The sequence below is a fragment of the Homo sapiens genome, chromosome 6 (genome assembly GCF_000001405.40).
Source record: "Homo sapiens chromosome 6, GRCh38.p14 Primary Assembly".
In the NCBI taxonomy this organism is placed as follows: domain Eukaryota; kingdom Metazoa; phylum Chordata; class Mammalia; order Primates; family Hominidae; genus Homo; species Homo sapiens.
Window position 1 is genome coordinate 73,664,110 of NC_000006.12, and position 12,498 is coordinate 73,676,607.

A 12,498-nucleotide genomic window follows, 5' to 3' on the forward strand; every position below is an offset into this window, starting at 1 on the left:
GAGAAATGTGATTGAATAAAAGGGTATGATCTAGTGGCAACAGACTGAGAGTGAGGAAACCCAGCAAAGCTTGTCAGTTCAAAATCTTAGTCTCTGTGTAGCATTCTTTCCTGCTGGATATGGGACAGGGTGCCTCTGGAATGAAGGCCTTCAAGGGAGAAAGGAGAAGTGACCTTTCTATGTTTTATGGCTTGCTTTGGGGGACAGGGGTTCTAGTTTCTATGACCTGCCTTGGAGAAGAAGAATCCCGGTTTCTATTACTCAGTTTGAAGAAGAAAGGGGACCGGGAGACAGGAGGGCAGGAAAAAGTCAGAGAGACCTTGTTTCTGAGATTGCTTCTGAGGCTTCCCAATCTCCTTTAGTTCAAAGTACTCAGCATGACAAAGTGCCATACTTTGGGATACCTTTTTCTGAGCCACAACATATCCAATATGTATATATTTCTCTATAAAGTACACAGACACTATAAACACTCAACAAACACTTAAAAAGCATGAATTGCAGACTATTTATAAGCAGAATATATAAGGAACTCAAACAACTCAATGGCAAACCCCACAAATAATCCAATTTAAAAATAGGCAAAAGACCTGAATAGACATTTCTCAAAAGAACACATACAAGTGACCAACAGGTATATTACAACATGCTCAGTATCACTACTTGTTAGGGAAATGCATACCAAAACCGCAATGAGATATCATCTCACCCTACTTAGAATGGCTATTACAAAAATACAAAAAAATGACAAATTCTGGTGATGATGCAGGGAGAGGAATGCTTGTACACTGTTGTTGGGATGTAAAGTAGTACAGTCATTATGGAAAACAGTATGTAAGTTCCTCAAAAAACTAAAAATAGAACTATCATATGATCTGGCAGTCCCACTGCTAGGTATATATCTAAAAGAGAGGAAATCAGTATATTGGGGAGATACCTCCACTCCCATATTTATCGTAGCTCAGCTCTAGTCTCAGTAGCCAAGATATGAAATCAACCTGTGTCCATCAAGAGATGAATGGATAAAGAAAATGTGGTATGTATATATGATGGAATATTATTCAGCCATAGAGAAGAATAAAGTCCTGTCATTTGCAACAACATGGATGGTACTGAAGGTCATTATGTTAAGTGAAATAAGCCAGGCACAGAAAGACAAATTCATATGTTCTTACTCATGTATGGGAGCTAAAAAAGTGGATCTCATGGAAGGCAGAGAATTGAATAGTAGTTACCAGAGGTTGGGAAGGGTAGGGAGAAGGGGGGATGAAGAGAAGTTGGTTAATGGGTACAAAAATACACTTAGATAGAAGCAATAAATTCTAGTATTCAATAGTATAGGAAGGAGACTAGAGTTAACAAAAATGTATTATGTATTTCACAATAGCTGGAAGAGAATCGGAATGATCCCCACACAAAGAAGAGATAAATGTTTGAGGTGATGGATATTCCCATTACAGTGATTTGATCATTACACATTGTATACAGGTATCAGAATATCATATGTACCCCCCAAAATAAGTATAACCATTAAATAGTAACAAAAAAGCTCATCTAAAGAATTAAAAAGGATGAGAAAAAATATAAATGCTCTGATTTTTTTCTGGATCATTTGCACATGCTCTCGGGTGAGTGCACCCCACTTTGGAGATCACTGTCTAGAGGACAAAATCAGAATTCTTTGGTATAGATCACAAGGCCTTTACAAACTGGCCCCAGCTGACATTTCCAGTCCCATCTTCCACAACTGTGGCCACCTGCTCTGTGCTGCACACGTTGTTCTATTCATTGAACTTCATAGATACCATGTTTTCCTTGTGTCGTTTCCTCCACCTGTTTGCTTCTTTTGTGTATGGTAAGTTCTTATTTGTCCTTTGAGGCTAAAAGATAACCTTTTATTTAATGATTCCTTTATAATCTCTCCCTTACTCTGTGCTCTTATGTATATTGTACACACCTTTGTTATAGCATACTGTGTTAAAGTTATCTAAGGCAGTTGAATGGTATGTGAGTCATTCCTTGAGAGCAGGAACCTTGACTTATTTTTCATTTCCTGCTTTAAGCAGAGATGAGTATTTATGGAGCCCCATATTATCTGTAAGGCACTGTCCTGGTTGCTATGGGGGATATACACTATTAGTGGAGCAGATAGATATACAAGATGTATAAGCATGGTTTCTGCTTTCAAGGAGCTTATGAGTGAAAGGCACCTTGAAGGAAATATTTCTTAAAACTGTGCAAGGGAAATATAAAGTATTTTCCTAACAGTTATGGAAGTCAGAGGACATATTTTTATATCTATTTTCTATTAAGCAAGTGGCATATGATTAATGTATTCCAGAAGAAGAGTGATTAATATTTTTAGCAAAGGGTTTCAATAATGGAATCTGGACATACTTTCCCATATCCTATTTCCTCTAGGCAGCTGTACTGTCAGATGTCCTCAGATAGTGTTCAAAATAGGAGAGGCATATGTGCATGGTTTTCTGCTTATCTTATGGCATGCACTCATTGTTTTTATAGCAGAATTTGGATTTCCTCAGTGCTTTTCAACTTAACAATTGGGTAGTTCTTGTGACATACCCACAGAGACATGAGTATTATTATAACCATTTTAAAGAGGAAAACTAAGAGATGGCAACCGAATGAAGTGATTTGTCCGAGGTTAGTGACAGCCACTATTACAATTCAGATTTATTGCCTTTCATAGTATTCAAATTCTAAGTGGTGCTTCTTCATAACTGTCTTAATTTTGTACATGTTGTATGTTATTTTTGCATCTTAAAACTTGGAACACAATTTCACTTAGTCTTGGAAGTCATTTCAATGATAAGTATATAATATGTGTTCAATTGCTGATTACAAATTATGTGGCATTTTCTTTGTCAATTTCAGTTACTTGCTTTAGGGGAGCTGAAAACATAGCCACTGTAAATACACACACACACACACACACACACACATACACATTAGTAATGTTACATCTGTGAAAAGCTTGGAAGAGAGCAATCTTTCAAATTTAAACACATTGAAAAATATAAAAAGACTTGTCACAGTTTTATCTCTTTTTTTTTTTTTTGAGATGGAGTCTCACTCTGTTGCCCAGGCTGGAGTGCAGTGGTGTGATCTCGGCTCACTGCAACCCCCACCCCCTGGGTTCAACCGATTCTCCTGCCTCAGCCTCCTGAGTAGCTGGGATTACAGGTGCCTGCCACCACGCCCAGCTAATTTTTGTATTTTTAGTAGAGACGGGGTTTCGCCATCTTGGTCAGGCTGGTCTTGAACTCCTGACCTCGTGATCCACCTGCCTTGGCCTTCCAAAGTGCTGGGATTACAGGTGTAAGCCACCACGCCCGACCAGTTTTATCTTTTTGACTCCAGAGAATTTAAAATAAATCAAATTTTGCAGGTATTGTAAAATATTAGTGGATCAGATAGAAAATCAGCTGGTAGAATCACACAAGAAACAGAATGACCTTTAGACATGAGCTAAAAGTGCATGCAAAGCAAGTAAAAATTGCAAGACTCAGGCAGATTAAAAGATTAAGGTTAAAATCTATTCTTTTAAGTAATATGTGAAGCCAAAGAGGGCTGTCGAGTCAGCCTTTCCTGTGAATCCTTTTTGGTCTGAAATCTTTTCACACATCATATATTCATATTTTCTGACCAAGGAAATATACAGGGGCTCAGAAACGAATTGCTGTTGTTTTATAACAGGGAAAAATCTCAAAATCAATGGAATTAAAAAACTGCTATATTGAAGTATAACTGATATATGAAAATTGCACTATTTAATGTAGACAATTTGATGAGTCTAGACATATACCCACATCTCTGAAACCATCACCACAATTGAGGTAGTAGACACATACAGCACCTTCAAAAGTTTCCATATGCCTCTTTGGTTTCTTCTTGTTGTGAGAACACCTAACATGAGATCCACCCTCTTAACTTTTTAAGTGCACAGTACAGTGTTACTAACTATAGGCATTGTGTTGTACAGCAGATCTCTAGAACTTATTCACATTGCATAACTGAAGTTTTGTAGATATTAAACAAAAACTCCCTATTTTCTCCCCCTCTAACCCCTGGCAAGTTCATTCTATTTTTTTGCTTCTATGTGTTTGACTATTTTAAATACCTCATACAAGTGGAATCATGCAGTATTTGAACTTCTGTGTCTGGCTTATTTCGCTAAACATAATGTCTTCCAGGTTCACTTCATGTTGTCACAAATGACAGTATTGCCGTCTTTTTAAAAGCTGAATAATATTCCATAGTATGAATATACCAGATTTTCTTTACCCATTCATCCATAGATGAAAATTTGAGTTGTTTCCATGTCTTGGCTATTGTGAGTAATGCTACAATGAATATGAGAGTGCAGATATCTCTTCCAGATACTGATTTCAATTCTTTTGGATATACACCCAGAAATGGGGTTGCTGGATCATATGGTAGTTCTATTTTTAATTTTGTGAGGAGCCTCTGTACTGTTTTCCATAGTGGCTGCATGATTTTACATTACTACCCTAAGCATACAAGGGTTCCCTTTTCTCCACATCCTTGCCAACACTTGTTATCTTTTATTTCTTTGATAATAGCCACCCTAACAGGTGTCAGATAATATCTCGTGGTTTTGATTTGCATTTCTCTGATGATTAGTGATGTTGAGCATGTTTTCAAATATCTGCTGGCCATTTATATGTCTTCTTTTGAGAAATGTCTATTCAAGTCCCTTGCCTATTTTTTAATATGATTATTTAGTTTTTTTTTGCTACTTATATATTTTTGGTATTAACCTTTTATCAAATGTATAGTTTGCAAATATTTTTTCCCATTTAGTAAGTTGTCCTTTCTCTCTATTGTTTCCTTTGCTATGTAGAATCTTTTTAGTTTGATGTAGTCCTACTTGTCTAGTTTTGCTTTTGGCTTTTTTGTCTGTGCATTTGGTGTCATATTCAAGAAATAATTGCCAACACTCTGTATTTCTATGTTTTTTTCTAGGAGTTTTACAGTCCTGTTTTTTTTTTTTTTTTTAGTGCACTGCCCTAAGGAAATGGGATGGGTGGTTCATGGCAGTCTGATGACTCTGCGAGGTTGGGAGAATGTACACAACCCTGAAATTACTCCTCCAGGAAAAGGGAGGAATGAATGTGCACATCATAAGAAACTATTTATTTACTTATTTATTTATTTATCCTTTAAGCACTGAGTATCATTCAGGACATAGAAAACATTTGAGAGGCTCCTAGGATCTCTAGCCTGGCCTATTGGTAAAGGTCTTTCTCCACTGAAGCCAGTCCATGAATCAATGGATTTTGATATTTCATGTTAAAACATCATCACAACCTGCCAATTAATACAATTATAGCTCTTTTTCTGATAAATATATTCTTCGAGTTTTATATAAATTCAATCATATTTAAGATGACACAGTAGAGTTTATGATGTATAGAGAAGCTGTGATTAATTCTTTTGAAAAGAAATAGCTGGATTTTCATTTTTTAGGTGTTCTTTTAATAGGGCACATTTATACTGGTTTTTCCATTCAGTAATTTCAGTAAAATGAGAAATGTAGTCATGCTTTGTTTATCTTTATTTTTTTTTAATGAAAAGATTTAATACTTCACTGGCAAGTATCTAGAGCAGAGCAATAGTTTATCCATTCAATTCCTCATGAATAAAAATTGTAACCTTGTAAGTCAGTAGTTATAATGCAATGAATCAGAATATTTAAGTTCAATCCTATTAAAAAAATTCCATCAGAATTGGTTATATCAGTTGGTGAAATGACTCCAATCCCTACTGACAGGCCTCTTTGTGGAAATAAACAAACACAAAGACCCCAAAGAACAAATACCCAACAACAGAAAACCAAAACTTAATCTACAGAATGTGATTGATTGATCTACTCCCTAAACCCCAAATAAAAGCCAACAGCAATAAGTAGATAATTAAGCATGCTGTGTGGTGTCATCCTTACATATAAAGGAAAGCACAAGGCTGAGGTGAGAGGATTCCATGAGGCCAGGACGTCAGTGCGCAGTGAGCCATGATCGTGCCAGCCTGCCAGTCTGGGCAACACAGTGAGACCTGGTGTCTAAAAATAAAAAATAACAATAAAGGGATGCACTTCTACTAGGTTTTAGTTTTAACTTGTGAGCATAAAATAATGAGATGTGTGAAGGAGAGAGATCTAAGAAATAGTTGTTAAGACAGTTCTAGGACAAAAGTTCCAAAAGTATTTTGAAGGCTAGAACAATTGAGAAAAGGTATTTAATCTGTTAAATTTGCATTCTCTTTTACATTAATTTGTGTTTATTTGAAAAAATTCAATCGCTCTATTGCTTTATCGTTACCTGATTATCTCTCATGTAGCCAAGTTGCCAGCTTAGCCATTGTGATGTCAAGAGAGGCAGACCTGATACAATACTTTTTGTGGAGAAGAGCCTCAGTGAGTTAATAAGGAAATGATAATGCCTTTTATGGGGACAACAGGGTTGCTTTTGTTTTTCCTGGAAAAAAATCATGGGTGGACTGTGGGGAGGACTTTTACCTAAAGGAGAAGAGATGTTCATAGTAAAGCCAGAAACTAAGGTTATTGATATGGTTTGGCTCTGTGTCCCCATCCAAATCTCATCTTGTAGCTCCCATAATTCCCACGTGTTGTGTGAAGGATCTGGTGAGAGATAATTGAATCACAGGGGTGGATCTTTCCTGTGCTGTTCTAGTGATAGTGAATGAGTCTCATGAGATCTGATGGTTTTAAAAGCGAGAGTTACCCTGCACAAGCTCTCTTCTCTTGTCTGCTGCCATGTGAGACATGCCTTTCACCTTCTGCCATGATTATGAGGCTTCTCTAGCCACTTGGAGCTGTTAAGTCCAATAAACCTCTTTCTTTTGTAAACTGCCCAGTCTCAGGTATGTCTTTATCAGCAGTGTGAAAATGGACTAATACAATTATTAACTTCTTAATAACTCTGTGGCAACAGTGCTTGCAAGCTAAAACTCACATGAAAAGAATATACCTGCCACTGCTTTGGTCCAATGTAAGAAGAAGCAAAAGAAAATGAATACTCAGTGCCTGGTATGTGTCAGACACCATAGTAAGCAGTTACACATGTTATTTAACTCTCTAGCGTCCAGTGTTTGGTATCTTAATTTTTTTTTTTTTTTTGAGACAGAGTCTTGCTCTGTTGCCCAGGCTGGAGTGCAGTGGCGCAATCTTGGCTCACTGCACCCTCCGCCTCCTGGGTTCAAGCGATTCTCCTGCCTCAGCCTCCTGAGTAGTTGGGATTACAGGCACGCACCACCAAGCTTGGCTCATTTTTGTATTTTTAGTAGAGACGGGGCCTCTCCATGTTGATCAGGCTGGTCTCAAACTCTTGACCTTGTGATCTGCCCGCCTCAGCCTCCCAAAGTGCTGGGATTACAGGCGTGAGCCATCACGCCTGGCCTAAAAAAAGAAATTTAACTGAAATAGAGATGGAGTCTCGCTATGTTGCTCAGGGTGATCTTGAACTTGTTGGCTCAAGAGATCTGCCAGCCTCAGCCTCCCAAAGTGCTGAAATTACAGGCGTGAGCCATGGCACCTAGCCATGTTTGGTATCTTTATTCTCATTATGTAGTTGAGAAAATCTGACATCAGAGAGAGTAACCTGCTTAAGCACAGGGGTTAGAATGTATGTCAGGCTTACTCCAAATCCCCTGCTTTTTCCATGCTGAGTTCCAGTAGATCATTTATGTATTCCTCATGCACAGGGAGGTACAAGATGGTAGAATGGGAGATAGATGGAACAAATTTGGCAAAATAGTCTGTAGTAGTTGATTAACCTATTCTTTACCTAGTGTAGATTTGAAATTTTTCATAATGAAAAGGTTTTTTAAGGAATATACTGTTTTTAAAGGATTGTGTGGATCTGTTTCCTCATGACAGTAGGGTATAAGAAACGGAATTAGAATGTTGTCTAGGTTTCCAAATCACCACCTGTTGCACAACAATGAAGAGGGACAGGGTGGGGATGACTGGGTTTTAACTATGTAATAATTGGAATTCCTTTTGAAGCCTTGTGTTGTATTGGCCATTGAATCCAAAGGTAGGATAATTTCCTTAAAACTTTATCATAACATTCAATTTATACATTCCCATGCCTAAGTAATCAGAAATAAACCAATGAGAAACAATGACTCTGAGACAGAACTGAAGCTATCATTTAAAGTCCCTTCAAGCCTGGACAACATGGTGAAACCCTGCCTGTACTAAAAATACAAAAAATTAGCCAGGGCGCACGCCTATAGTCTCAGCTACTCGGGAGGCTGAGGTGGGATGATGGTTTGAGCCCTAGAGGCAGAAGTTGCGTGAGTCCAGATAGTGCCACTGCAGTGAGCCTGGGCGGAAAAAAAAGGAAGTCTATCCCTTCTAAGCTTTATAAAGTCATGATAGCTTTAATTTCCTTAAACCAGCGTCATAACATTTAATTCACTCATTCCTGTGCCTAAATAATCAGAAACTGTCAACAATGAAAACACCCACTGAGACTTAATTGAAACTATAGAAATAATGTTGGCCGACTGAGCTTTCCCAGAATAGTTGGAATCATACAGTATGTAGTCTTTTCAGATTGGCTTCTTTCATTATCAATAAGCATTTAAGGTTCCTTCATATTGTTTCATTGTTTGATAGCCATTTCTTTATTTTCTTTTTCTTTTTCTTTTTGAGACAGAGTCTTGCTCTGTCACCCAAGCTGGAGTGCAGTGGCACCATCTTGGCTCACTGCAACCTCCTCTTCCTGGGTTCAAGCAATTCTTCTGCTTCAGCTTCCTGAGCAGCTGGGATTACAGGCGTTTGCCACCACAACCGGCTAATTTTTGTATTTTTAGTAGAGATGGGGTTTCACCATGTTGACCAGGCTGGTCTCAAATTCCTGACCTCAGGTGATCTGCTTGTCTCGGCCTCCCAAAGTGCTGGGATTACAAGTGTGAGCCTGGGGTGACAGTTTTTGTATAATTTGATTTTATGTTAACTGATGGGATAAAAAAAATGTCTGGCCAATAAAGAGTTAAAGCTAGTCAAGGTCTACTAAGCAGTGCCTATTTCTTTTTTTCTTTCCTTTTCTTTTTCTTTTTTCTTTTTTTTTTTGAGATAGAGTCTCTGTCTGTCTCCTAGGCTGGAGTGCAATGGCATGATCTCCGCACACTGCAGCCTCCTGCGGGGTTTCCCCACGTTGGCCAGGCTGGTCTCAAACTTCTGACCTCAAATGATCTACCCACCTCGACCTCGCAAAGTGCTGGGATTACAGACGTGAGCCACTTGAGGTCAGGAGACTAGCCTGGTGAACATGGTGAAACCCCGTCTCTGCTAAAAATACAAAAAATTAGGCCGGGTGGCACGGTGGTGGCTCATGCCAGCACTTTGGGAGGCCGAGGCAGATGGATCACGATGTCAGGAGTTCGAGACCAGCCTGACCAACATGGTGAAACCTTGCCTCCATTAAAAATACAAAAATTAGCCGGGCATGATGGCGTGTGCCTGTAATCCCAGCTACGCAGGAGGCTGAGGCAGGAGAATCATTTGAACCTGGGAGGCAGAGGCTGCAGTGAGCAAAGGTTGCACCACTGCACTCCAGCCTGAGTGACAGAACGAGACTCCATCTAAAAAAGAAAAAAAAAAAAAAAAAATATATATATATATATATATATATATATTAGCCAGGCGTGGTTGCACATGCCTGTAATCCCAGTTACTCCGGAGGCTAAGGAAGGAGAATAGCTTGAACCCAGGAGGCGAGGCTTGAACCCAGGAGGAATAGCTTGAACCCAGTGAGCCGAGATTGCATCACTGCACTCCAGCCTGGGTGACAAAGTGAGACTCTATTTCAAATAAATAAATAAATAAATAAATAAATAAATAAATAAATAAATAAAACAAAAACTAGCCAGGCACAGTAGTGCTCACCTGTAATCCCAGCTACTCAGGAGGCTGAGGTGGGAGAATCACTTAAACCTTGAAGGCCAAGGTTGCAGTGAGCCAAGATGATGTCACTGCACGCCAACCTGGGCAACAGAGTGAGACCCTGTCTCAAGAAAAAAATAAAAGAATTACTTTTTTGGCTGGGCGCGGTGGCTCATGCCTGTAATTTCAGCACTTTGAGAGGCCAAGGCAGGCAGATCACCTGAGGTCAAGAGTTCGAGACCAGCCTGGCCAACATGGTAAAACTTCATCTCTACTCAAAATACAAATAAATTAGACAGGTGTGGTGGCGCACACCTGTAATCCCAGCTAGTAGGGAGGCTGAGGCAGGAGAATAGCTTGAACCTGGGAGGCAGAGGTTGCAGTGATCTGAGATTGTGCCACTGCACTCCAGCCTGGGCAACAGAGCAAGACTCCATCTGAAAAAAAAATTACTTAAAAAAAAATTTTTTTTTTTTTTACAGTTAGGAGCATCTTTTCATAGTTTTATCAATAACTGTATTACCATTGTCACACTGTGCTAAGGTCTGAATGTTTATGTCCTTCCACCCACTACCCCAAATTCGTATGTTGAAACCTAATCACCAATGTGATGGTATTAGGAGGTGGAGGCTTTGGGAGGTGATTAGGTCATGAGGGCAGAGGCCTCATGAATGAGATTAGTGCCCTCATAAAAGAGGCCCCAAGAGAACTGCCTTGCCCCTTCTATCATGTGAAGACACAGCAAGAAAGTATTATCTATGAACTAGGAAAAGGGTCCTTACCAGACACTGAACCCACCAGCTCCTTGATCTTCCAGCCTCCAGAACTGTAAGAAATAAATTTCTGTGTTTATGTCTATTTTGTTACAGCAGCCTGAATGGACTAAGAAACATTGTTACAGACATATCTTTTTTTTTTTTTTTTTGAAATGGAGTCTCACTCTGTCACCCAGGCTAGAGTGCGGTGGTGTGATCTTGGCTCACTACAACCTCGATCTCCTGGGCTCAAGCAATTCTCCTCTCTCAGCCTCCCAAGTAGCTGGGATTACAAGTGTGCATCACCTTGCCCAGCTAATTTTTGTATTTTTTATAGAGACAGGGTTTCACCATGTTGGCCAGGTTGGTCTCATACTCCTGACCTCAAATGATCTGTCTGCCTCAGTGTCCCAAAATGCAGGGATTACAGGCTACAGGGGTGAGCCACAGAGCCTGGCCAGAAATATCATATATATATATATATATATATATATAAAATATGTGTATATATATAATATGTATATATATATACACACACACACACAATTTATATATATATATATATCAAATTTTTAAATTTTAAATATATAAAGATGGGGTCTCGCTATATTGATCAGGCTGGTTTTGAGTTCCTGGCCTCAAGCGATCCTCCTATCTCGGCTTGCCAAAGTGTTGGGATTACAGGTGCAAGCCACTGCTGCTGGCTTGTAACAGAAATATCTGTTCTCTTTCCCTTGATTTTACCCAGTAATCATTAACTCTGAGACACGAGAGAAGGATGAGGCTATATGGGGTTCCTGTGTTATCTCCAATAATATGTTGCATCAACTTCCTTGACCACTAGGTGGCAGGCTGGTGCAGAATGGCAGCTGCTAGGGAAACTGGACAGTGTTCTGACTGACTTCTATGGACACCAGCATGATGATGACCAGCTGCAGCAGGCTTTTCCTGTATTCAGAATGTAAAATGTAGATGAACTCAAGTGTCTGTCACCTTATGGACCTTCAGCCCCAATGACTATTCTTCATTTCTGCTTTAGACCTTCATACACAAAAAACTAAGTGTCTTATTGAGGAAAATTATTATCTTACTGTTATTCCAGGTGTCCTTAGAGAGACATCTGGAATGTACAGGGGTCACAGTCTAAAATTTTGAGTCACTTCTGAAAACCCATATAAACATGTAACGAAGATTAAAAAACAAAACAAAACAAACAAAACACCATAGAACCCAGAAGTGGTGATGGGAATTGTAAAGAAAGTATTAACTACGGTCCCTGGAGAGACACTGCAGCCCAATAGAATTATCTCCACTTTTCACTGTTTATGAGAAGTCAAAGGTTTCAGGCTGAATTGGCTTTCAGGGATCCTTCCCTGGTAAGGATCCAGATCTTTTATCTTTTACTTTACTCTTTTCTCCTTTGTAATGTTATTACTTCCAGTATTGGGAGGGGAAGGCCAGTATCTTAACCAAAATAAAGAAACTTTTGCTCTCAAGCTTTTTATATTGAACAAATTCTATTTTGGAGACTGACAAATTGATCTGCCATAAATGACCTCCATGGGAGTGACGTTGTTGTCTGGTTGAGCTACTGCCTCTGGTTCTTGAATCTTCCCAGACTCTCTCCTTCCCTCTCTCCTTCCACCCCAGCTCTTGTCTTTCATGGCCTGACTTCTGGTTCCAGTGCTAGCCTGTCCCCCTGAGGTGAGCTATTTTATATCCTTGCTCAGTATTCCAAGGTTGCCTTGTTAGTCCTGTTGCTGTGTTATTGATGAGGCTCTACGGCTG

General features: G+C 39.2%; 2 annotated features.

The window, feature by feature from the left end:
* Positions 11,357-11,651: an enhancer, noted in NCBI's record as "tiled region #11313; K562 Activating DNase unmatched - State 12:CtcfO". NCBI's record gives its function as "activates a minimal TATA promoter and a strong SV40 promoter by Sharpr-MPRA in K562 cells {active_cell/tissue: K562}" and the evidence as "EXISTENCE:reporter gene assay evidence [ECO:0000049][PMID:27701403]".
* Positions 11,357-11,651: a silencer, noted in NCBI's record as "tiled region #11313; HepG2 Repressive DNase matched - State 12:CtcfO". NCBI's record gives its function as "represses a minimal TATA promoter and a strong SV40 promoter by Sharpr-MPRA in HepG2 cells {active_cell/tissue: HepG2}" and the evidence as "EXISTENCE:reporter gene assay evidence [ECO:0000049][PMID:27701403]".